Genomic DNA, 26,985 nt, shown 5'->3' with positions numbered 1-26,985 from the left:
AACATGGCATTACGCCATGCGTTGGAGAACATATATTCTTTCGATCATTCGACAAATATTTACTCAACACTTACTATGTGCCAGGCACTATTGGAGGTCCCAGTGATAAAGCAGAGACTATTACAGATTTGAGGCATCATTAGGCAGCCATCTCAGTGGGACTTGATGACACATTGAAAGTGGGAGAGGAGGCAAAAAGGCAAATGAAAGATGAGCTCACTCACAGTAGCAAGAATAGTTTTCTGGCATGAAGTAAAAATGGATCGCAGTTCTATTTAGCTTTGCTGCTAACCTCTATATGTGGTATATATAAAAAAGCTCAATTTCTACAATTCAATCATTCTTACTATCCTTTTTAATGTCCTTTGCAGGGACATGGATGAAGCTGGAAACCATCGTTTTCAGCAAACTAACACAGGAATAGAAAACCAAACACCGCGTGTTCTCACACATAAGTGGGAGTTGAACAATGAGAACATATGGGCACAAGGAGGGGAACATCACACACTGGGGCATGTCGGGGGGTTGGGGGCAAGGGGAGGGAGAGCATTAGGAGAAATACCTAATGTAGATGACAGGTTGATGGGTGCAGCAAACCACCATGGCACATGTATACCTACATAACAAACCTGCGCATTCTGCACATGTATCCCAGAACTTAAGTATAATAAAAAATAAAAAGAAATAAAAAGACAAAAATATAAATAGCACCACTCTTCTATCTTTATTTTTTCTAAAAATACATTGTAAATCAAATAGTATTCATTCGTTCCTGTCCATTAGCCTCTCCTACTCCATTCATTAAATGGCTATGTTTGCTTTGGGATCTGACAAGTTTCTGAGCAAGAATGTTTTGCCTTCATTTTCACCTATTTCAGTGGTCTTATTTCTTTTAAATCTGTGGTTAAATTTCTGATGTCCTTTATAGCCCTAACAAATTATGATGTTATAAATATTAAAACCCCAGTTCTTAAACATAGTATCAGACACTACCACTCAACATGTGGAGATCTGTGGAAGTTTTTTTACTGGTCCACAATGAAGTACAGAAATTGAGACTAAACCTTTATAAATTTTTATAGCAATTTGAAAGAGTAATTTTATGCTTGTCAAATCTAACAGTGATTTAAGGATGGCCCTGTAGTTTGCACATTTCTTTTCTATGTTTTTAAATAGATTGAATGTTATTCTATTAAAAATTATCCATCTGTGATGAATCTGAGTAATGATATTTAGAAAGGGAATGAACAAAGAGATAAAAGATACTGATCTATTGCTGGGGATAGTATGAAAAGCACTTGCATAGGACACTTTGTTGCCATCTAGAATGTGAAAATCTTTCACTCTCACTCTTCCAGAACTCTTATTAAATTCTGATTTTCTTATGGAAATACAAGTTGCACAAACTATGGCTAAATACTGTCTTCTCTTTCTTAATTGACATTCAGCTTCAGCATGTTCTTCATGAACGTTTATTTTTCTAAAGTTACCTATTTACTTACTTAAAGTAGAATATTGAAATTATTATTTCAGAAAAATTTATTTTGAGGACTTGAAGCCATATTTTAGAGTGTTAATATTAATAATTATGTCAGATCATACTAAAGAGAATACATCTTGCCTTTAACTTTGTCTTCCTATTGTGCATTTTTATCTTGTGCCAAAAAAAGGAAGAAAGAAAAGAAATTAAGGTGTGAGTATCATCAATGTTATTTTGAAGGCACAGGCTTCCTCCTATAGGCTTGCTTTCCCTCACATTTTCATGTGGGGACAAGGAAAACACATTTAGCTGAGGTTTTAAAGGGCATGCACATCAGAGTGAGGCTGTAAGGCTTATGTGGTTTCAGGTTTAAAGCACAAGGGAAAGCTTGTCAACAGCAAGATGATGCAGAGAGAAGATGGTGCAGCATGCATTCAGAACCTGAACAGGAATTGTTGCTTAGTCTTGCTGTGGCTTGCAGTATTCATTTCAGGTGACATTCAGTCAACATATAAGTAAACTGTGAAAATGAAAGACTAAACTGCAGATGTTAAATCCATACAAATATCATTAGGGCCTAGTTTTAAATTCTTTGGAAATATATCTCTCCTTTGGTTTTTCATAAGAGAGTCCCACAGCTTAGCCATTTCCAAGAAATATCTAACAAAAAGGCATGGATAAATAAAAGGCTATAGTTTGTGAATTATAAATGAAAAAATAAAAACGTCAGAAAATTATTACTGAGGACAGTAATCATGAACAAGCAAATATTTAACCCTGATAAACGATTTTTAAATTGTTTAAATAGAGCAATTTTAACCTTTAATATATACAAGAATCACCTGGTTAAATCAATTCTCAGAGATTCTGATGCAGTAATCGTAGGGTAGATTTGGAATTCTGCATTTTTAGCAAGTGCCACAGATGGGACAGGGATGGGAAATGCCACAAGCATAGCATCTAGGAACTAGAGTAACCTAGGTCTCCATGTGAGCTGGCCTGATGCTCACTGTTAGGCCACATTTTTCTCTTGTTGGTCATAAGCAGTCTCACAGAGCACCAATATCAGACAAGGCCACTCTGAGACCATGCTACAGCAAGATATAAAAAGATTTTGTGCCACCCACAAAACACCAAACATCCCTTTCTGTTGGCTAATACGAGTGACTGTTGCTTTTTTGCCTATTACAGCTTTATCCCCACTCCAGTTTGCCCTTCCTTTAGATGTTTTGAGATACCCAATGATAGGATTCCCCTTGCTTACCGACAACAAATGATCCAGAGTGAGTCTCCATTTCCTTAGATGTTCTTCAAGATTTCCTCACAAAACCCAAATCCAATAAGTCCTTTTCAACACAATTACTGAGATGCTGCACATTCCTCATATTGTATAATATCCCTCACTGCAACAACTAATAAACCCAATTCATTCCACTACAGTTATGTTCCTGGTGGTCTTCCGCTGGAGGACATTGCTATTTATGTAATGAATACAAACAAATGTGATATCAAATATTATTATTACCAAGAAATAGAAACTGAAATATAAACAACCTCACTGCACAACAAACAATAAAAATTTTTCGGAAGTCTAAAGTTTATTTTTAACAATAGATGTTTAGCTTCTTGACTGCAGGGACAGCGACTTTACTATTTACTTAGTGCCTTCCACTATGGGCCATGCACACAGTAAGTACTCAGGAAATATGTGCAAAAGAAAAAATAAATAAAAGAAAAATAGTTTTCCACAAGTGATAAGTGTACTGGCATATGCTCCCTGTGGTAGGCAGAATAATGCCTCTCCTCCCAAAGATGTTCACATCCGAATCCCCTGAACCTGTAAATATGTTACTTTACATGACAAAAGGGACTCTGCAGGTGTCATTAAGTTAAGGATCTTGAGATGGGAAGAATACCTTATATTATCCAGGTAGGCCTAATGTAACCACAAGAGTCCTGTAAGAGAGAGGAAGGACCCTAAGGTAACCACAAGGATCCTATAAAAGAGAAAAAATAATCAGAGGAGGAGAAGTGCAGATGGATGCTGCTGGCTTTGAAGATGAAAGAAGGGGCCATGAATGAAGGAATGCACATCATTTATAGAAACTGGAAAAGAGGAAATGGATTCTTCCCCAGAGGCTCTAGAAGGAATTCAGCCATGCCAATATCTTAATTTTAGGACTTCTCACCTGTAGAAGTAATATAATAATGTTAAGCCAGTAAATTTGTGATAATTTGTTACAGCAGTAAGAAGAAACTAACATGTCTGAAAATAGAAGAAGACACTTTTTGACAGCATTCTGTATGCCTGTTAAGACATATCTGCCTACTAGCCTTCTCACAGTAGGCCTGAGGGTCTTGGTTGTAACGGTGATGAGGTCAGCTGAGGCTTCTCATATAAAGATAATATATAAAATATAAGTCCTTATTCAGAACTTTATAATAAGAGATTTAAAGTGATATTAAATAAATAGATTTAAGAAATTAAACATCTATATGCCCTACACGATTAGCTGAACCATAAATTCAGATGTATAGTAAAATGCAGATTACATAGATATAAATGTAGTACAGCTCTGCTTTATTTTATGTGGGTCCAAGTCAATATATACTACTACTAAAGTACACTAGAAGGTGAGCCCCCAAATTTGTATAAGCAAAACATTAGTCCTTTTAAAAGTCCACACTCCTACAAGAATTTTATTCCCCTCCAGAGGATGCCACACATCTCCTAAAATTAAATCAGGGGCAATTGATACAGATATTTCCACTCTAGACCTGGTAACATTACCTGTGTTTCTAGCTAGGGTTCTACTCAGTCCATCTCTCTCCCTGGGTTGTCTCCTTTCTAATAACTACAAAATCGTCAACGTATAAATAAGGTCACTGGAGTAAAATTAGATATTTTATAGTCTTCCAGAAGTGTGAAGACTGCCCATCTTTTTTTCCCTTTTTTCCAGAAAACAAAATCCTCATGGAGAGAACTATTGCAAATAGAAACCTGAGCTGGGTACTGTGGCTCACGCCTGTAATCCCAGCACTTTGGGAGATCGAGGTGGGTGGATCGCTTGAGCTCAGGAGTTCAAGACCAGCCTAGGCAGCATGACAAAACCTTGTCTCCACAAAAAATACAAAAATTAGCTGGGCATGGTGGTGCACGCCTGTAGTTCCAGCTACTTGAGAGGCTGAGGTAGGAAGATCACCTGAGTCTAAGGAGGTTGAGCCTGAAGTGAGCCGTGATCACGCCACTGCACTCTGGCCTGGGCAACAGAGTGAGACCCTGTGTAAAAAAAAAGAGAGAGAAAGAAAAGAAAAAGAAAAGAGACAGAAACCTGAGAAAAATCATTAGCACACTAGTTTTACAAACAACTTGACTCTGAATCCCAGAGGGGACTCATCTGTAGTACCCCTCTATAATTCATAACTCTCCTTTCAAAGCTATTGTTGAAATTCTTGAGATTACTTTAAATCTTCCCAATTAGGCATTATCCACTGACCTGCTTTGATTCCCGTGCTGATTATTATTAGGTCATGTTAGACCCCTGACTTCATTGTATCAGAACTGATCTACTCTTAAGGTCTTCAGTCTTTATGTCTGCAATTTTACAAAGTTATCTATTAATTGCAGAATGTTGTTAGTATGTTTCTACTGATTTATTTCTAACAGGTGAGATGTATTTAAATGCAGGCGCTGTTCTTCCAGCTCGGTGCCCTCCAGTCTCTTCATCTCACTACCCCTACACACACACACACACAAACACACACAAACACATACACACACACACGCCTCTAATTCCCCTCATCTATTAGTTCTCTTCTAATTTCTTTCTTCTTTCCCATCTATCCTCAATAGTGTGATCGATCTTTGCCATAACCTTCTTTCCCCCTTGTTATTCCATCATCTGTGACATACATTTCCAACCCTGGATAATTTAATCTTTCACCTCTCTCTACATAGGCTTATGATGTTTGCTAGAGAAGTACATTTAATTCTTTATATTGATTCTCCCATAAATTTCTGGTCCTCAGATTCACCCAGGCTCTGCTCTATCCCCCAATTACAGCTTCCTTTCACTTTCAGTGAGTTATCTCTCCTATTTAAAAACAATAGAAGCTATTAGGCAGAAAAATCCTCCCTCTTTAACCCAACCTACAAATTCTGTGTAGACACTCACTATTATCTATATCCCAACAGCCACCTCAATCAGTTTCTAAACAAACTTTCAGCTTCATCTCCTTAGAGAAGTTGCTGTATCAAATATTCCTTTTTCTCTCTCCTGTATCTTTGAGTTTTCCATCTTTATTGGTTTCAACACTATTCTCATCCTCCACTTTGGGCTAGATTAAGGAACCTAACTTCCTTATACACCCTTATATATCTCTTAATTTTTCTATCATAATACTTCTTAAATGAAATTGAATTGTCTTTCTTCACAGTCAATAAATCGGGAACTGAGCCATGTGATTACTTTTCTGTTTCCCCTAAAGATTGCGAGCACTCAGAGAGAATATGCCCTAGACTCTGCAACTCTGCATTCCTACTGCCTACTGCTTATTACTCTCATAAGAGTATTTATTGATGAAGTATTGAATGCATTAATTAATATATTAATTTTAACTCCGCAATAAATGCCTGCCTACTTCAAAACACCATTTACTTTCCTCTCATTTTGTAGAAAGAATTTTACAAGCCTTCCTGTTTTTCAGGGGGGAAAAAGACACTTTGAATTTTACCGGTCCTTGAAAGTCTTTGTGTCTTTACATTATGCAGTTAGTATATGAGGGGGCTTTATTTAAATTTTTAAGAAATAGACAAATAGGATTTTCAAATTTAATATATAATTGGTCAGACCAGTCACCTCAAAGACACATTCACATCCTGCTTGCAAAACTTCACTTTAACATGCTTGAATGCATTAATGTAGTTACAGTCAATCCGAAGGGGATTTAGTTTGATTTGAAAGTATAAAATGAAAGACAAAGAGAGAAAGAGAGAGATATTATTGAAGGACTTATTGGTAGTACAAATTTAAGCACCACAGAGGGGAAATAAATAAATATTCTATTCCATTGACAAGATCTATACAACTTTAAGCTGTATGAATCTGAGTGTCTTAGCATGAGCAAGTAAACATTAGATATATGAAATTCCTTCATTTGGTTTCAATCAATCTACCATTTTATAATAATTTAGGTTCTCTTGTCATGTTTGAAAATTTCAGTTTCTATGATAATAATTCATTTTAAGCTAATATATTATAGTTCTATTTTTATAATAATTTGGCTTCCCTTGTCATGTTTGAACATTTTAGTTTCTATGATAATAATTCATTTTAAGTTAATATAATTCTATTTTTATATATCAGTTTTATAACCTTTGTAAGTATGAATGTGTCCCCAAAGATGATGGAGCTTCTCTCAGTGTGCTAAAAAACATAAATTTCTTAACCACAGCTGGCATCTGAATGATGATTGAGCTACTAAGAAGATGAAGTCTGTTATAATATTGCTTGAATTCTTTCACCAGATGACATAAACCTGTCTGAGTCACCTTATGTGTCTTCTCATAGAAAATCTTGTATCAGTGACAATTCACCTGCAGCTTCATCTACTTTTTACTTTACTGGTTTTTATTATTTAACTATTCCAGGCCCATGTGTTCGTGTACATGTTTCTAAAATCCATTCAATTTTGAGTTGATTCTGTAAGTTGCACAAATCAGGATCAACAGCTTGAAAATCTAGACATCTGATAATTGTTGAATGTCAGTAATAATAATACTAGGGCATTAAATTAAGGAAAAAACAGGGAACTAACAATTGAATTATAATTATCTCTTACAGGATATACTACCTTCATAAAAGTACATTAAACCATTTCCTTTTTCTTCAAATATGTTGCATTCAGGCTTCATATATCATGGTGAACATTATTTACTCATTTAATTTGAGGACGTACTTTTCAGCTTTAATAGACACTAGAAAACACTTTCATAAAATGGTTGAATCAATTTACAATCCCACCACCAGTGGTCAAATATTGCAGTTGCTTTACATCCTTGCCATCATTTAAGTTGTTTTTTAAAAATTTAGTTACTATGAATACATAATAGCTGCAAATGTTCATGGGGGGTAAAAGTGATAATTTTATAAAAGCATACAATGTGTGATGATCACATTGTGATCATAACGTGCGATGATCATAGTAACAGAGATATCCATTACCTCAAGCATTTATCATGTCTTTGTGTTAGGAAAGTTCCATTTCCACTCTTGTAGTTATTTTGAAATATATAATACATTATTGTTAACTATAGTTGCCCCATGGTGCTACCAAGTACTAGATCTTATTCCTTCTATCTAACTTTATTTTTGTACCCAATAACCATCCCTACTTCCCCTCTTTATACCCCCACCCTCACTACGATTACTAGCCTCTAGTTAACTATCATTCTACTCTCTATCTCCATGAGTTCAATTCTTTTAGCTCCCAACGTAAATGAGAACATTCGATATTTCTCTTTCTGTGTCTGGCTTATTTCACTTAACATAACGTTCTCCAGTTCCATCCACGTTCTTGCAAATGACAGCATTTCTTTTTTATGACTGTATGCTATTCCAATGTGTATATGTACCACATTTTCTTTATTCATTCATTTGTTGATAGACATTTAGGTTGATTCTATATCTTGGCTATTATAAATAGTGCTACAATAAACATGAAAGTGCAGATATCTCTTCGATATACTGATTTCCCTTCTTTTGGATATATCCCCAGAGGGACGATTGCTGGATCATATGATAGTTCTATTTTTAGTTTTTGGAGGAATCTTCATACTATTCTCCATAGTGGTTGTGTTAATTTACATTCCTAACAGTGTACCAGAGTCCCCCTTTTCCACATATTTGCCAGCATCCATTATTGCCTCTCTTTTTTTATGAACGCCATTTTAACTTCATGGGGTAAGATGATATTTCATTGTAGTTTTTATTTGCATGTCTCTGATAATAAGTGATGTTGAGCATTTTTTTTACATATTGCCCAATTTTATGTCTTCTTTTAGAAATGTCTATTCAGATCTTATGCCCATTTTTAATAGAATTATTTGGTTTTTTTCTCTTGAGTTGTTTGAGTTCCTTATATATTGTGATTATTAATCCCTTCTCAGAAAAGCAGTTTGCAAATATTTTCTCCCGTTCTGTATATAGTCTGCTCATTTTATTGATTGTTTCCTTTGCTGTGCAGAAATTTTTAGCTTGATATGATCCTGTTTATCCATTCTGCTTTGTTTGCCTGTTTTTGAGGTCTGTTATTTATTACTTTTAATGTTTTTAATTGGAAAATAATAACTGTACATATTAATGGGGTGCATAGTGATGTTTCTATATATATACATATAATGTGTAGTGATCAGATCAGGGTAATTAACATATCTATCATCTCAAATATTTATCATTTCTTTGTGTTGGGAACGTTCAATATCTTCCTTTTAGCTATTTGAAGCTATATAATACATTATTGTTAACTATAGTCATCCTGCTTTTGAGGTTTTACTCAAAGTTTCATTGCCCACAACAATGTCCTGGAGTGTTTACCCAATGTTTTCTTCCAGTAGTTTCATAGTTTGAGGTCTTAAATTTAAGTTTTTAGTATATTTTTATTTGATTTTTGTCTATGATGAGAGATAAAGGTCTAGTTTCATTCTTTAGTATATAGTCATCCAGTTTTCCCAGCACAATTTATTGAAGAGACTGTCCTTTCCCTAACATATGTACATGGCATCTTTTTCAAAGATTAGTTGACAGTAAATGCATGGATTTATTTCTGGGTTCTCTGGTTCTGTTCCATTGGTCTATGTCTGTTTTTATGTCAGTGCCATGCTGTTTTGTTTACTGTATATTTTTAGTATAATGCGAAGTCAGGTAACAAGTGCCTCTGCCTTTGTTCTTTTTGCTCAGGATGGTTTTAGCTATTCTGGGACTTTTGTAGTTCCATATAAGTTTTAGGATTACTTTTTCTATTTCTGTGAAGAATGTCATTGCCATTTTGATAGGGATTGCATTGAATCTGTAGATTGCTTTGAGTAGTAAGAATATTTTAACACTCTTGATTCTTCCAAGTCATGAACATGGAACGTCTTCATTTTTTGTGTCCTCTCCAATTTCTTTCTTTCAGCATTGTTTTATATTTTAGAGAGCTTTCCGTTTTTTGGTTAAGTTTATTTCTAGGTGTTTTATTTTTATTTGTAGCTATTGTAAATGAGGGTAATTCCATTTGATTTCTTGGTTTATGTCTCAGATGTTTGCTGCTGGCATATAAACATGTGACTGATTTTTGTATGTTGATTTTTGGATCCCACAATTATACTGAATTTGAGGATCCGTTCTAATAGATTTTTGGTGGAGTCTTCTTACCATCATTTTGTATTGTCATTTTCCTCACATTATGATCACTGTGCAATGGTATCTCATTTTATATATATATATATATATATATATATATATATATATATATATATATTTTTTTTTTTTTTTTTTTTTTTTTTTTTTTTTTTGAGCCAGAGTCTCACTGTGTTGCCTGGGCTGGAGTACAGTGGTGCAATCTCGGCTCACTGTAACCTCCGCCTCCCAGGTTCAAGCGATTCTCATGCCTCAGCCTCCCAAGTAGCCGGGACTACAGGCGTGTGCCACAATGCCTGGCTAATTTTTGTATTTTTAGTAGAAACAGGGTTTCACCATGTTGGCCAGGCTGGTCTTGAACTACTGACCTCATATGATCCACCCGCCTCAGCCTCCCAAAGTACTGAGATTACAGATATGAGCTACTATACCCTGCCTCATTATATTTTAAATTTGCATTTCACTCATGACTAATGATATCTAGCACCTTGCTACATGCTTATTGGCCATTTGGATATTCTCTGTATTAGTCTGCCTGGGCTGTCATAACAAAATGCCACTAACTGGGTGGTCATAAACAACATAAATTTGTTTTTCCACAATTCTGAAGGCTACTAATATGAGATCAGGGGTGTAAGTAGATCAGGTTCTGGTGAGGGTTTTCCTACTGGTTTACAAATGGCCACCCTCTTGCTGTGTCCTCACATGGCAGGGAGAGTGGAGAGGGGTGCTCTCTAATGTCTCTTCTTGTGGATCGCAGTCACCCTTTTGACCTCATTTAACCTTAATTACCTCCTTAGAGACTCTATCTCCAAATATAATCACATTGGGGTTGAGGGCCTTAACATATGAATTTGGGGAAGACACAAACATTCAGATTATAACATCCTCTTTTGTGAAGTCCCTGCTGACATATTTAATCTAATTTTCAATTCTGGTTGTCAATCCTTTCCTTGTTGATTTGTAGAAATTCTTTATATGTCTGGATATGAGTCCTATATTGGATTGACGTGCTGCAAATATCTTCTCCCATTTTGTGTCTTGCCTTTTCACTTTCTAAAAGTGTCTTTTTATAAATAGAAATTCTTAATTTTAATGAAAGAATTCATCAATCATTCTTTTCTTTTTGATTAGCTTTTATAAAGTTTTTTAATGAAACCATTGCCTACTCAAAACTATGATAATATTCTTTTATAATATCTTCTAGGAGCACTATTGTTTTAACTTTGACTTTTAGGATTACGACACACCTGTAATTTATTTTGTGTATGAAGAGAGTTAGGAGTGAGATTTCATTTTTACCCCATCTCACACAGAATTAATCCAATACTATTGAAAAGAACATCTTTTCTCCACTGCACTGCAGTGTCACCTTCATCTTAAATAAGGTAATCATGTAAGTGTGGGCCTGTTCCTGAATCCTTTATTCCGTTCAATTGATCTGTTTGTTATCCCTGAGCTAACATTATACTTTTCACTACTGATTTTTTTTTTTTAATATCTAGTAGTGTAAAATCCTCAACCTTGTTCTTCTTCAAGCTTGCCTTGACTCTTTTTGGCTCCATATATTTTAATGTACATTTAAAAACCAGCTTGTCAATTTCCACAAACAAAATCTAGCTGCAATTGGGATTGCATTGAATTTATAGGTCAATTTGGGAGAGAACCGTAATATATTAGCAATAGCATGTCATAAATAATCCATTAACATCGTATGTAACATCCTATTCTCTGTGTCTTACCTGGGCATTTGCGCAGCTTGGAGTTTAGCAAATGCTTCAAAAGAGGAAAGTGAACACAGAATACAGAGTTCACTTTTCAGCAGTTTCCTCCTTTCCTGCATCTTGTACACTAATGTTTGACTTTTTGGTAGTCCTGAGTTCTAATTATTTTCTTCCCAGGGTAGTAAGACTACCACAAACTCTAAGTTGCTGCTTCTTTTTAGTCTCAATGTCTACAGTAAGAGTACTTATCTTCCCCAAAGGGAAAGGAATGGGGAATGTAGGACTCCCCTAAACATATTTTCTTTCTCGTCAAGATAACTGTCCTTCAACTATTGGCCACCATTATTGTTCTCTGATGTCTTATATTATTGTGTGTGTATATGTGTGTGTGTGTGTGTGTGTGTGTGTGTGTGTGTGTGTGTGTTTTGTCTATCTTGCCCCATTATACCTGGAAGAGGAAGTCCTGATATTTAATTTTTAAGTTTTTTTTCAAAATTATGGTCTTCATGACCTTCCTTATTCCCCTGCATCAATCTTCAATATAGCTTTGTTAACAACAAAAAATTGAGTGTCAACATGTTGCAAATGTCGTGAAAAATGCAAGAAAGGATAAGCCATGATTAAGGGAAAAAGCAAGCTAGGAAGCCCTAGAGAAGCACGAAAAGTCATTAATGTCAAAATCAAAGTTGATGGAAAGATTTTTTGAGCAAGAGGTAACAAATATCAAGTAGGAAATGTAGCCACTTCCTTCTAAACTAGAGTTTGTATGAAATAATCAAATATTATGCAGTTACACAAGATGAGGACTTGAGCAATTGGAGACATTGGTTTGAATCATATCCTCTCTAGAGTAAAGCCCAGCTACTCAATCTCTCTCATATGGACAGTAGTCTGGTTTTAAATTTTCCTTATTCAATGTCTTCTAAATTACTGATTCAGTAATTGGATCATGTGCTTATTATAATATATCGTTTCACTGTATTGTATCTCCTAAACGGCCAAAAATGTGAAGCTAATTTTAATTAAATTACTTTTTTTTTTCAGAAACATTTGCCTGATCTGCCTATTCCCTGGTCTCCTGTGGTGTTTAGAGTCCATTTTACTCTGGATTTCTAAAAGTCATAACCATTTCTTACAAGATCTGAGAACTACTTATGGAGCCCTAGTATAAATAAATACCAAAACACCCATTTCCTGTATGACACATATTTTACAATCATTATTTCATTTAATCCTCATAAAATAGATAACCTTAATGCAGCATTATCCCCATTTGACATGTGAAGAAACTAAGGTTTAGTGAGATAATAGCTATTCCAAAATGATAAAATGGACAGAGCCAGGGTTTATAAAAAGCTGTCTGATTTTAGAATTTTCAAGTACATAACATTTGATTGATTTCCTGTCAATTACATCTGTCATTGAAATTTAGGTTAGGGACCCAGTTATTTTCAGGCCTTTACTGAATGAAAGTAATGGACGATACATCCATATTTTATAGCAAATTATTTTCTTCCCAAAAAACTCCATGTATAGATTATTTTAGAGAGAGATGATGCAAATGCTTTCAAAAGTACATGTATTCTAAAATAGATTCAGGCAATTTGACAGGATGGAACTGTCAGAAACTAATTATTATTATTTTTATTTCTACGCCATCTGAAAAACAACCATCAGGTTTATTCACACGAGAAACTGAATAAATTTACTTAGGAGAAAATATAAATGGGAGAGCTTGTTATTGTACAAAAAATGTATTATATTGCCATAATGGGCTATTTTTCTCTATTAGGAATTGCCAAATGCAGTTCCGTATAGCTTCAATATGCCAATAACCTGCTATGTGATAGTGTAAATCATATAAACTCTCTCTGCCTCAGCTTTATCAACTAAAAACTAGAGGATTGGTCTAGATTATCTGTAAAGTCCCTTATAGTTTAAAAATTACCTATTGCTTTATATATTTATATTTTCATACATCAGACTAATAATACATATAGAAATGCCTTGTGTGTGTGTGTGTGCCTGTGTGTACAATTTCACCCACAGTACAGTATTCCACAAGTAGTATAATCCAAGTATGAGATTTATTTTTCATTGTTTATAGAAATGCTGTGTAAATAAGGAGCTCAAAAATAAAATGGAAAAACATGTTAAGTCTTCAAAAAGTAGATATTAGCTAATGTTTATGGAATAGCTGAAATATAGCTTTACATCATATAACATAGATAAGACTTGGTCTAGTGATCTCATGACCTAAATGCTTAATACAAGACTCTCCTAATCCAGCCAGGCAATTTCAGATGTCTTATAATCAAAGCTAAGAAACATTAGATGTTTTAATAGCCTTACGAATTTAATAGCCTTAGGAATGTCTATAATTACCCATATTAGCAGCCAAGATGCCTCTCAGCCAGAGACAGTCAGCCTTTAATAGCCAGCAAGCCACTTTGAATAGGGTTGAAAATACTTTTAAACCTTTTGGGGTTATTAGGGATAATTAAAAGTGGTTGAAAGTGTATAATATCATTTATCAAAGCACTAAAAGATGTGCCATAAGAAATATATCTCAACATTACCAAATGCAATTAATATACTTCTTACATTAAGATATAATCAAATAAAATAACCTAAAAAACTGAATAAATATACTATTTTTAGGTTTTATTATATATAACCTATATTATTTAGGTTATACAGATATAACCTATATTATTTAGGTTATACAGATATAACCTATATTATTTAGGTTATACAGATATAACCTATATTATTTAGGTTATACAGATATAACCTATATTATTTAGGTTATACAGATATAACCTATATTATTTAGGTTATACAGATATAACCTATATTATTTAGGTTATACAGATATAACCTATATTATTTAGGTTATACAGATATAACCTATATTATTTAGGTTATACAGATATAACCTAAATAAAACAAAGGTATGTACATAAACATATGGACATATGTATACACATGTTAAATATAAATGTATACACACACAAAATGAAAAAGAATATATATATATATATATAAAACTTATTTCCCAAAGTTCAGACCTTCAGAGCCACTGTCTTAACCTTTGACATGTCATAATATTAAGTCAATATTGTGTATCGTATATGAAGGGACTTCAAACATTTCATGAAAAATTGGAATGAAAAGATAAAAATCAAAAAAACTTTATTTTTCAACACAAGCTCCATCAAGTTCCAGACACCTTTACAAACAACAGTATTTAGTCCAACCCTACAGAACTGAGAGTCCTGGAAATTTAACCATATTAATACAGTCTTTTTTACATTATGAACTGAAGAAAAGTGGGTACCCTTTAAAGATTTTTTAAAATTAGGAAGCAAAACGAAATCAGAAGGAGCAAAATCAGAACTATAAGTTGGATGCCTAATGATTTCCCATTGAAATTCTTGCAAAATTGCCCTTGTTTTTTGAGAGGAATAAGCAGGAGCATTGTAATAGTGGAGAAAGACTCTCTGGTGAAGCTTTCCTGGGGAGTTTTTCTGCTAGTACTTTGGCTAATTTTCTCAAAACTCTCATAATAAGCAGACATTATCATTCTTTGGCCTTTCAGAAAGTTAACAATCAAAATGGCTTAAGCATCCCCCCAAAATTGTAGCTATGACCTTTGCTCTTGACCTGTCTCCTTTTGCTTTCACTGGACCACTTCCACCTGTTAGCCATTGGTGTTAGCTGTTGTTGCACCAGTAGCCATTGCTATGATTGTGCTTTGTCTTTAGGATCATAGTGATAAAGCCATGTTTCATCTCCTGTTACAATTCTATGTAGAAATACTTCAGGATCTTGATTCAATTTGTTTAAAAATTTCCATTGAAAGCTCTGCCCTTGACTGCAGCTGATCTGGGTGCAACAGTTTTGGCAACCAGCGCATGAAAAGTTTACTCAACTTTAATTTTTCAGTCAGAATGGTGTAATCTGAACCAACTGAGATGTCTATGGTGTCAGTGATTGTTTCTGCTGTTAATCGTTGGTACTCTTCAGTTAAGGTACAAACAGGATTAATTTTTCCTCATAAATTGACGTCTGCCAAGCTGATGGTGTGCTGCTACAGGCTTCAAATTCAACATTGTCCTGTCCCTTCTTAAAACAAGTTATTCATTTGTAAACTGCTGATTTCTTTGGGGACACTTTCACTATAAACTTTTCATGGTGAATGATTTCACTATTCTTATACCCAAGATTCACCATGAATTTGATGTTTGTTTTTGCTTCAATTCTAGCAGAATTCATGTTGTTCTGATAGAATGTATCCTTCTTAGTGCCTTAAACTAGATCTTGTTCAGACGTGTTATAAAAATTTAGTACATTTATTTTGGTGCCAAAAGATTTGAAATCCACACATATTTTTTCATAACATGCATTTTCCATAAATTTTTAGAAGACCCCTCATAACTATATGTACGTATACATATATATTTATGTATATATATGTATTTATATATGTATTTATGAAGGGTCTATATACATAAATATATATGTATGCATATGTATATAAAATAGTCATTTTACCTGCATAATTTCCAGTCGAAGAGCTAAAACGCTTATGGAAAAAAGTTCTAAAAATGTTATAGCAATCATGCCAGATAATTTTGAAAGTAAGTGCCACTATTTCACTTTGACCTAGATTCACAATGAAAGCCTTCCCTGCATTGAGTCACTGTCAATTATTGTGATGACTTTAGTGCTCCTCACTGGTTTAATCATGGGAAAAATTATTCTGTACAAAATACTAATAAATCTACACATCTACAGTGAACTCACAAAGGTGCCAAGAACATACATTGGGGAAAGGACAATCTCTTCAATAAATGGTGCTGGGAAAACTGGACATCCACACACAGAAGAATGAAACTAGACCCCTCTCTCTCACCATATACAAAAATTAAACCAAGATAGGCTAAAGATGTATATCCAAAACTTTAAACTATGAAAGTGTGAAAGAAAACATTGAGGAAGCGCTGTCTGGGCACATAATTTCTTGAGTAAGACCTCAAAAGTACAGGCAACAGAAGCAAAAATGGACAAACAGGACCACATTAAGTTAAAAAGCTTTTGCACAGCAAGGGAAGCCATAAAAAAAGTGATCAGACAACATGTAGAATGAAAGAAAAGATTTGCAAACTCGCCATCTGACAAGATCAATAACCAGAATATATAAGGAGCTCAAACAACTCAATAGGAAGAAAACAAATAATCTAATTTAAAAATGGGCAAAAAGATCTGAACAGACATTTCTGAAAAGAAGACATACAAATGGCCAAGTATGTATATGAAAAAATGTTCAATATTATTAATCATCAAAAAATGAAAATCAAAACTACAATGAGCTATCATATTACCCCAGTTAAAATGACTTTCATTCAAAACACAGGCAATAACGGATGCTGGCGGGGATGTGGAGGAAGGGTTACCCTGATACACTGTTGGTAGGAATATAAATTCGTAGAGCCACTGTGGAAAGCAGTGTGGAGGTTTCTCAAAAAACTAAAAATAGAACTACCAAATGATCCAGCAATACCTCTGCTAGGTATATATCCAAAGGAAGAAAATCAGTATATCAAAGAGATATCTGCACTCCCATATTTATTGCAGCACTACTCATAATAGCCAAGATTGGAAGTCAAACTAAGTATCCACCAACATTGGACTGGATAAGAAAATATGGTACATATACAAAATGGAATGTTATTCAGCCATAAAAGAAGGGAATCTTGTCATTTGCAACAACATGAATGGAACTGGAGGACATTATGTTGAGTGAAATAAGCTAGACACACTTCACATGGTTTCACTCATTTGTGGGAACTAAAAATTAAAACAACTGAATTCATGGAGACAGAGAGTAGAATGATGGTTACCAGAGACTGGGAAGGGTGGGGAGGAAGTGGGGATGGTTAATTTGTACAAAAATATAGTTAGAAAGAATGAATAAGATCTAGTATTTCATAGCACAGCGGGGTGACTATAGTCAACAACAACTTGTGTATTTTAAAATAACCAAAACAGTGGAATTAGAATGTTCCTAAAACAAATAAATGTCAAATGCTTAAGGTGATGGATATCCCAATTACTCTGATTTGGTTATTGCACATTGTACACCTATATCAAAATATCACATATATCCAGTAAATATATACACCTATTTCATATCCATAATAATTAAAAAATATTTTTTTAAAAAACTTGAACATCACAGGGTTAAGTTGCATGCCATAACCTATAGTTCCTAGATAAACAAAGAAGTGTGACTTCGATATATTAATCTTTAACTTGCAGTTGGCTGCAATTTGCAAATAGTTATAAATAAAGAGGAATCTCAGGTTGTCTGCAAACACTTTTAACATATATATTGAAGCTAAAGAAAATCATCTGCTTACTAAATAATTTTAAACTTACATGAAAAATCACTTGTACAGTGATGAGCAGTTCCATAACTAATAAACCAAACAGGGTTAATTTACCTCTTCCTATTGTTGTATTGTCCAAAAGACATTTATTTGGTCCTCTTCCTCACGATTTTCCTAGAACTAAAATAAACAACTAGATGAGAGTAGGTTCTTTTTTAAATTTTTATTTTTTTCTTTTAATTTTTATGGATACATAATAGTTACACATATTTATGGGATATGTGTGATATTTTAATATAAGAATATAGTGTGTGACGACCAAATCTGGTTTGTTAGGATATCCATCACCTCAAAAATTTATCATTACTTTGTTTGGGGAACATTTCGTATCTACTTCTGCAGTTATTTTAAAATACACAACAAATTATTGTTAAATATCGTCACTCCATTGTGCTACCAAACACTAGATCTTATTCCTTCTATCTAGGTATATTTTTGTACCAATATACCACTCACTCTTTATTCCCACACACCACTCTCCCCTCTTTCTAGCTTCTAGTAGCCATCATTCTACTTTCCATCTCCAGGAGTTCAGTTGTTTTAGCTTCCACATATGAGTGAGAACATGCAACATTATCTTTCTGTGCTTGGCTTATTTCACTTAACATTTTGTCCTCCGGTTCTATCTGTATTGTTGCAAATGACAGTATTTCCTTCTTTTATATAACTGAATATTATTCCATTGTGTATATGTCTTCTTTACCACATCTTCTTTATCTAATCATTCATTGAAGGACATTTAGGTTGATTCCATATCTTGGCTATTGTGAATAATGCTGCAACGAACATGGGAGTGCAGATATCTCTTAGATACACTGACTTTATTTTCCTTTGGGTATATACCCAATGGGATTCTTGGATCATATGGTAGTTCTATTTTTAGTTTTTAGAGGAATCTCCTTACTGTTTTCCATAGTGGCTATACTAATTTACATTCCCACCAACAGTGTACAAGGGTTCCCATCTCTCCACATCATCGCCAGCATCTGTTATTGCCTGTCTTTCAGAAAAAAGCCTTTCTAACTGGAGTAAGATGCTATCTCATTGTAGTTTTGACTTGCATTTCCCTGATTATTAGTGACGTTGAGCCTTTTTTCATACACTTAATGCCCATTTGTATGTCTTCTTTTGAGTAATGTGTATTCAGAGTTTCTGCCCATTTTTAATTGGATTATTTGATTTTTTGCTACTAAGTTGTTTCAGTTCCTTATATATTCTGGTTATTAATCTCTTGTCAGTTTGATACTTTGCAACTTTTTCTTCTATTTTGTAGATTGTCTCTTCACTCTATTAATTGCTTCCCTTGGTGTGCAGAAACTTTGTAGGCTGATGTGACCCCATTTGTCCATTTTTGCTTTTGTTGCCTGTGCTTTTGAGATCTTACTCAAGAAATCATTACCACACTAATGTCCTGGAGTGTTTTCCCAAAGTTTTCTTCTAGCAGTTTCATAGTTTCAGGTTTTAGATTTAAGTTTTTAATCCGGTTTTATTTGATTTTTGTATATGGTGAGAGATACAGGTCTAGTTTTATTCTTCTGTATATGGATATCCAGTTTTCCCAATACCATTTATTGAAGAGACTGTCCTTTCTCCAATGTATGTTCTGGGTGCATTTGTCAAAGATGAGTTGACTAAATGCGTGGGTTACTTCTGGGTTCTCTATTCGGTCCCACTGGTCCATATGTCTGTTTTTATGTCAATAGCATGCTGTTTTGTTTACTAGAGCTTTGTAGTATAATTTAAAGTCAGGTAATGCAATGCTTCCAATTTTGTTCTTTTTGCTCAGGACAGCTTTGTCTATTCTGGGCCTTTTGTGGTTCCAAATAAATTTTATATATTTTTTCTATTTCTGTGAAGAATATCATTGGTATATTGATAGGAATTGCATTGATTCTGTTGGTTGCTTTGGATAGTATAGACATTTTTACAATATTGATTCTTTCAATACATGAACATAGAATATCTTTCCTTTTTTGCATTGACTTCAATTTTTTTCGTCAGAGATGAAAAGTAAGATATTACAACTGATATTACAGAAATTCAAAGGATCATTAGTGGAAATTATGAGCAACTATATGCCAATAAATTGGAATATCTAGAAGAAATGGATAAATTCCTAGATACATATAACCTACCAAGACTGAACCATGAAGAAATCCAAGACATTAACAGACCACTAACAAGTAAAGAGACTGAAGCTGTAATAAAAGTCTCCCAGTAAAGAAAAGCCCGGGACCTGATATCTTCACTGCTGAATTTAAGAACTAATACCAATCCTACTCAAATTGTTCTTAATAACAGAGGAGAAGGGAATACTTCCAAATTCATTCTATGAGCCTAGTATTACCTGGATATTAAAACCAGACAAAGACACATCAAAAAAAGAGAAAACTACAGGCTAATATTTCTAATAAATATTGATGCAAAAATGGTCAACAAAATAGTAGCAAATCGAATTCAACAATCCATTAAAAGACAATTGATCATGTCCAAGTGGGATTTATCTCTGGGATGCAAGAATGGTTCAAAATATACAAATCAATCAATGTGATACATTGTATCAACAGAATGAAGCACAAAAACCATATGATCATTTCAATTGATGCTGCAAAAGCATTTAATAAAATTCAACATCCCTTCATGATAAAACCCCTCAAAAACCTAGGTATATAAGGAACATATCTCAACATAATAAAAGGCATATATGACAGATTAAAAGCTAATATCATACTGAGTGGGGGAAAACTTAAATCCTTTACTCTAAGATCTGGAGCATGAGAAGGATGCCCACTTTCACCACTGTTATTTAACCTGGTATGAGAAGTCTTAGCTAGAGCAATCTGACAAGAGAAAGATATAAAGGGCATCCAAATTAGAAAGGAAGAAGTAAAACTATCCCTGTTTGCAGATGATATGCTCTTACATTTGGAGAAACCTAAATATTCCACAAGAAAACTATTAGAATTAATAAACAAATTCAGTAAAGTTGCAGGATGCAAAATCAACATACAAAAATTAGTAGGGTTGATATATGCTAACAGTGAACAATGCGAAAAAAATAAAAAAGTTATCCCATTTACAATAACCACAAATAAATTTAAATACCTAGGAATTAATGTAACCAAAGAAGTGAAACATCCCTGCAATGAAAACTATAAAATACTGATGAAAGCAATTGAAGAGGAATCAAAACAAGGAAATATATTCAACATTCATAAATTAGAAGATCAATATTGTTAAAATGTCCATACTATCCAAAGAAATCTACAGATTCAATGCAATCCTTATCAAAATACCAATGACATTCTTCACAGAAATAGAAAAAACAATCCTAAGATTTCTATGGAGTTACAAAAGGCCCAGAATAGCCAAAGCTATCCTGAGGAAAAAAAAAACAAAACTGGAGGAATCACATTACCTGAGTTCAACTTATACTACAGCAAAACAGCATGGTACACGCTTAAAAACAGACACAGACCAGTGGAACAGAATAGAGAATGTATAAACAAATCCACACGCCTACAGTGAACTCATTTTTGACAAAGGTACCAAGAACATACACTGGGGAAAAGATAGTCTCTTCAATAAATGTTGCTGGGAAAACTAGATATCCAGATGCAGAAGAATGAAACTAGACCCCTATCTCTCACCATATACAAAATTCAAATAAAAATAGATTAAATACTTAAATATATAACCTGAAATTATGAAACTACTACAAGAAAACATCAGGGAAGCTCTCCAGGACTTTGGTCTGTGCAAAAATTTCTTGAGTAATATCACAAGAGCACAGGCAACCAAAGCAAAATGGACAAATGGGATCACATCAAGTTAAAAAGCTTCACACAGCCAAGGAAACAATCAACAAAGTGAAGAGATAACTCACAGAATGTAAGAAAATATTTGCAAACTATCCATCTGACAAAGGGTTAATAATGAGAATATATACAGAGCTCAAACAACTTTATAGAAAAAATTCTATTAATCCAATCAAAAATAAGCAAACAATTTGAATAGACATTCCTCAAAAGAAGACACACAAATGGCAAACAGGCGTATGAAAAGGTGCTCAGCATCATTGATCATCAGAGAAACGCAAATCAAAGCTATAATGAGGAATCACCTCACCCCAGTTAAAATGGCTTTTATCCAAAAGACAGGAAATAAAGAATTCTGGTGAGGATGTGGAGAAAAGAGAACACTTGTACACTGTGGGAATGTAAATCAATACGACCACTATGGAGAACAGTTAGGAGGACCCTCAGAAAAACGAAAATAGAGCTAGTATATGACCAAGCCATCCCACTGCTGGATATATACCCAAAAAAAGGAAATCAGTATATCAAAATGAGGTCTGCACTCTATGTTTGTTGCAGCACTGTTCACAATAGCCAAGATTTGGAATTAACCTAAGTGTCCACCAACAGATAAATGGATAAATAAAATGTGGTATTTATAAACAATGGAGTACTATTCAGCCATAACAAATAATGATATCTTTTCATTTGCAGCAACATGGATGGAATTGGAGGTCCTGATGTTAAGTAAAATAAGGCCAGCACAGAAAGACAAACATCACACATTCTCACTTGTTTATGGGATCTAAAAATCAAAACAATTGAACTCAGGGAAATAGAAAGTAGAAGGATGGTTACAATAGGCTGGGAATGGCAGTGGGGGTACAGGGCGGGGAAGGTGGGATGGTTACTGGGTACAAAAAAAATAGAAAGAATGAGTAAGACCTAGTATTTGACAGCACAACAGGGGAACTATAGTCAATAATAATTTAATTGCATATTTAAAAATAATTAAAAGAGTATAATTGGATTTTTTGTGACTCAAAGGACGAATGCTGGAGGGAACGGATATTGCATTTTCTAGGATGTGATTATTATGCATTGCATGCCCATACCAAAATATCTCATGTACCCCATAAGTATATAGACGTGATATGTACCCACAAAAGTTAAAAATAAAAAAAATTTACAAAGTTAGCAGGTCAATCGTGTATGGGAATCAGAATTTACCTACATTGTGTCTTTTAAGGGGCATTGGGAATGGCATCCTCCTTCTTACAATCTAATGTATAGAAAGCCTTCATTCATTGTTGCCTCACAGCCCCAAAATTCACCGAAGGGTTTCATGTTTTCATATGCAAATATTTAGAAGAGGTGCATAAGCTGTTACCTTCTTAAAGTCTATGTGTTTGATTTCTTCATTGCCCTAACACTTGTCAGAGATCTACAGCACTGAGGAACAGAATGAGAGACAAGGGGCAGAAATAGGACAATGGGGAGTAGATGATTATTCTCAGAAATACTCACCAAAAAAAGCTTATTTAGAATTCTTTCTGTTGGGAGTTGTGTTTCTCACATTCAGTGGCTTCGGTGAGGCAGCCTTTGGCTATTAAGCATCCTGTCCCAGCTCTATTGAAAGAAAGGAATCCATCATGCAGGAAGAGCACATGTGAGTTACACATGTCTTCCAGATAACACTCATCTCAGAAGATAATATTTTTATTTGCCTGAAGCCGGAATGTTTTGTAAACTTTGTAAATGAAAAACACCATACTCAGGACAGGCAGAGTAAAAGGGTTAAGGGCATTAGCGTCCTAATAGCAAAAGCATCGTGTGTGTGTGTGTGTGTGTGTGTGTGTGTGTGTGTGTGTAAGGGCATTAGCGTCCTAATAGCAAAAGCATCGTGTGTGTGTGTGTGTGTGTGTGTGTGTGTGTGTGTGTGTGTGTGTGTGTGTGTAGGAGCACAGAGAAAAAATATCCAGAACCAAAGAAATACAATAGGGAGTATTTTAAGGCCATGTTGTGAGGTGCCACTCAGATGTTCCCTGCAAGACTGAGTCAGGACTAAGGCAATCATTCCCCCTGCTGTTGGGACTATTACCTGATGACAGCTTATAGCAGAGACTCCCCCAAAGAATCATCCTCAGACAAAGGGGAAATGCCTCACCTAAGGTTATAGACAGAGCATCCAATGACTGATGTATCCAGGAGTAAAAGACCCAGCCCACTTGCATCTTTTAGCTGAATACACTAAACACTGAAGAGCCATTCCAGCTCCCCAGCCCTCCAAGGGTAACCAGGCTTCTCTTTACTGCAGTTTAACATATCCCTCTACTCCTTGAGGCTATGCTCACTCTATCACAGATTTCGACCCTGAGGGCAGTCACCAGTCAATATCCTGCCAGCAAAACTCCATCTCAGAATTAATTTCCAGGAAATGTAGCCTAAAACATATAGTTTGAACATTATTATAGCCACCAATGTTAGGATACTGGTATGCATGGAACAACAGATAGCTATGTGGATTAGGATCTGGGACTGGACTCTAAAAGAGAACTCAGCCTGAGGGAGGTGAGAACCAGACAAGTCACTTGATCCGTAACAACTTCATAGTTGTCAGGGGAGAGGGGCAATTCCAAGTATTATCCACTCTCCCATCTCTTCATTTGAAGCTGAAAACACAGCAGTAGTGCATTTTTGGAGGCTAAGATACGTGACAGACATGGCCATTCCTCATGGATACACTGATACACGGTAGAGGACAGAAGGACAAAAGAGAACAGAAATACATCGTGGGCACTATATAGTAGAACAACACACATTTTTATGAGAAGATGTGAGAAACTTCCTTGAGACTCCAAGAAACTCTGGGGCATTGAGGATTTATAAGTGGAGGAAATTTCTGCTTTAACAGATTGGCTCAAAAGCCAGGAAGTAACCAGGTTAGAATAGACTGGCTTGGAATAGAGGAGACCACTTGAGTAAGAGAACAAGTTGATTGCATGGTCAATCAAAGAAAATGGATCTAGGCAAAGACAAAAATGATACTTTTGAGGATTAACATAATTTTAGTTTACCATACAAGCTCAAACTGCACATTCTCTCATGTATATATGCATTAGTGAGAGAGAGAGAGACAGAGAGACAGAGAGAGAGAGAGAAAGGTAGTCAATTTGTTCATATTGTGCATGAAGTTCTCTACTGAACAATGGAGGGAGACAGAATAGCAGAGTGATGAAGAGTGTGAACTCTGAGGCCAAACTTACTCGGTGTGAATCTCAACTCTGCCACTTACTAGTGGTTCTTGTTGAATAGTTGAATACGGTTGCTTTGTGGACAAAATGAGTCAAAACTCACAAGTACTCAGAATGCTGAACTTACATGGTAAGCATAGGAAGGTCTTGCTCTCCAGCTGTGGGGCGTGTGGTCAGCAGGCTGCCTCCATCTGGCGGCTCCTTCAGGGTCAGCCTTAGCTGCTGGGAGCTGCCTTGTCAGAGGACCATTCTCTTCTCAGAGCAGCCTGTATCTGGTGACTGAATCAGGCATGGGTGTAAAGGCCCTGCCATTTCAGACAGAGTGGGACATTCTGATGGGCATCTCGTTCCAGAAGCCCTGGCTGGTTTGGCCAACGCTTTTATCAGCCCAGCGTTTGCAGATAGCTTCTTTCTGTCCAGCCCTGCCTTCTCCCTTTTCCCTTTTCTTTCTTTTTTTCTTTTTTTTTTTTTTGAGACAGTCTCACTCTGTTCCCCAAGCTGGAGTGCAGTGGCACGATCTTGGCTCACTGCAGCCTCCATCTCCTGGGTTCAAGCGATTCTCTGGCCTCAGCCACCCAAGTAGCTGGGATTACAGGCATGCGCCACCATGCCTGGCTAATTTTTGTATTTGTAGTAGAGACGAAGTTTCACCATGTTGACCAGGCTGGTCTCGAACTCCTGACATCAAGTAATCCACCCACTCAGTCTCAAAGTGCTAGGATTACAAGCATGAGCCACTGCGCCCATCTCTCCCCTTTCCTTTCACAGGTATTAATTTCTAATAAGCATCTTGCCCCTCAAACTCCGACTTGGTCTGTTTCAGGAGAATCCAGCCAGCAGTGTGTAAGCCTGTAACAAACAAACTGATCAATTTATATTTATATGGATGTCCTTTATAAGCCTAATGTCAATTTGAGGAATTGTATTATTATATAAAATATTCATAAACTGTGTTAATAATGGCAAGTATCTAAGGAATGCCAGATGAAGACATATTTATAGTTTTACGAGAGAATAATAACACATTGATATAAATATCAAGTACTATTAGAATACTGGATATTAAAAACTTGCAACTTTTTATTTGGAAGCCTTCTAGTACCATTACTATTACACCAAATTATTTACTCATTAATTCAGTGGAGCAATAACTACTGAATACAATGTGCCAGCCCCTGTGATAGACATTGCGGATAATAAAGCTGAGATGAGCCTTGCTATTATGAAGTTTATGGTCTATCAGGGAAGAAAAATATTGAAAAAACAATTAAATAGATAAATATATAATGTAATGCTATCCAGGAAAGGTACTGAGCACTATAAAAGGACATAGCAAGTGTAAGCTTACTAAATCCGCAGAGAAAAAGTATGCACTTAAGCTAAGATGTACAGGATGAGCAGGTGAGAGCCATAAAAAACAGATAGGAAACAGTGTCTTGGGTACTCAGTTGGAAGAGTTTTTACAAAACATCCCTTCTTTCTTGGCATCCCAGTGGAGCATGTGCTCCATTAAAAATAATGAGTAATCAAGAAAAAAACAAACAAATAAAAAAACGGAAAACTTGAGGACAAAGTAAACTGGAGATCCAAAACACAAAACAGGCAGCGGGACTATTGAAGATGATGGTGAGAAAAGATCCCTGGATGACAGCTATGTGCCAGGAATATATCTAGGTCTCGGTCAGGATTTCTCAACCTTGACTCTACTGACATTTTAGGTCAAAGATTTGCTTAGAGGGGCTATCCTGTGGATTGTAGGATGTTTAGCAGCATCCCTGGCTTGAACTCATTAGGTGCCAGTAGCATCACCCGCAAGTTGTAAAAACAAAAAATAATATCTCCAGACATTGCCAAACATCTCCTGGGCAGCAACCCC

At 35.2% G+C, this 26,985-nt stretch overlaps 1 long non-coding RNA gene across 1 annotated transcript; it reads right to left on the bottom strand.

The window, feature by feature from the left end:
• Positions 1–18,112: 18,112 nt before the first annotated feature.
• LOC105373152 (uncharacterized) lies at positions 18,113–25,435 on the bottom strand. The gene is made up of 3 exons (XR_950540.2): positions 25,237–25,435; positions 23,383–23,484; positions 18,113–18,178 (listed from the first exon to the last, which is right to left on the bottom strand). It is a non-coding gene; the product is annotated as an uncharacterized LOC105373152 (long non-coding RNA).
• Between the last annotated feature and the right edge of the window lie 1,550 nt (positions 25,436–26,985).

Source organism: Homo sapiens, chromosome X (genome assembly GCF_000001405.40).
Source record: "Homo sapiens chromosome X, GRCh38.p14 Primary Assembly".
NCBI lineage: Eukaryota > Metazoa > Chordata > Mammalia > Primates > Hominidae > Homo > Homo sapiens.
This window is presented reverse-complemented; position numbering and strand designations above follow the sequence as displayed.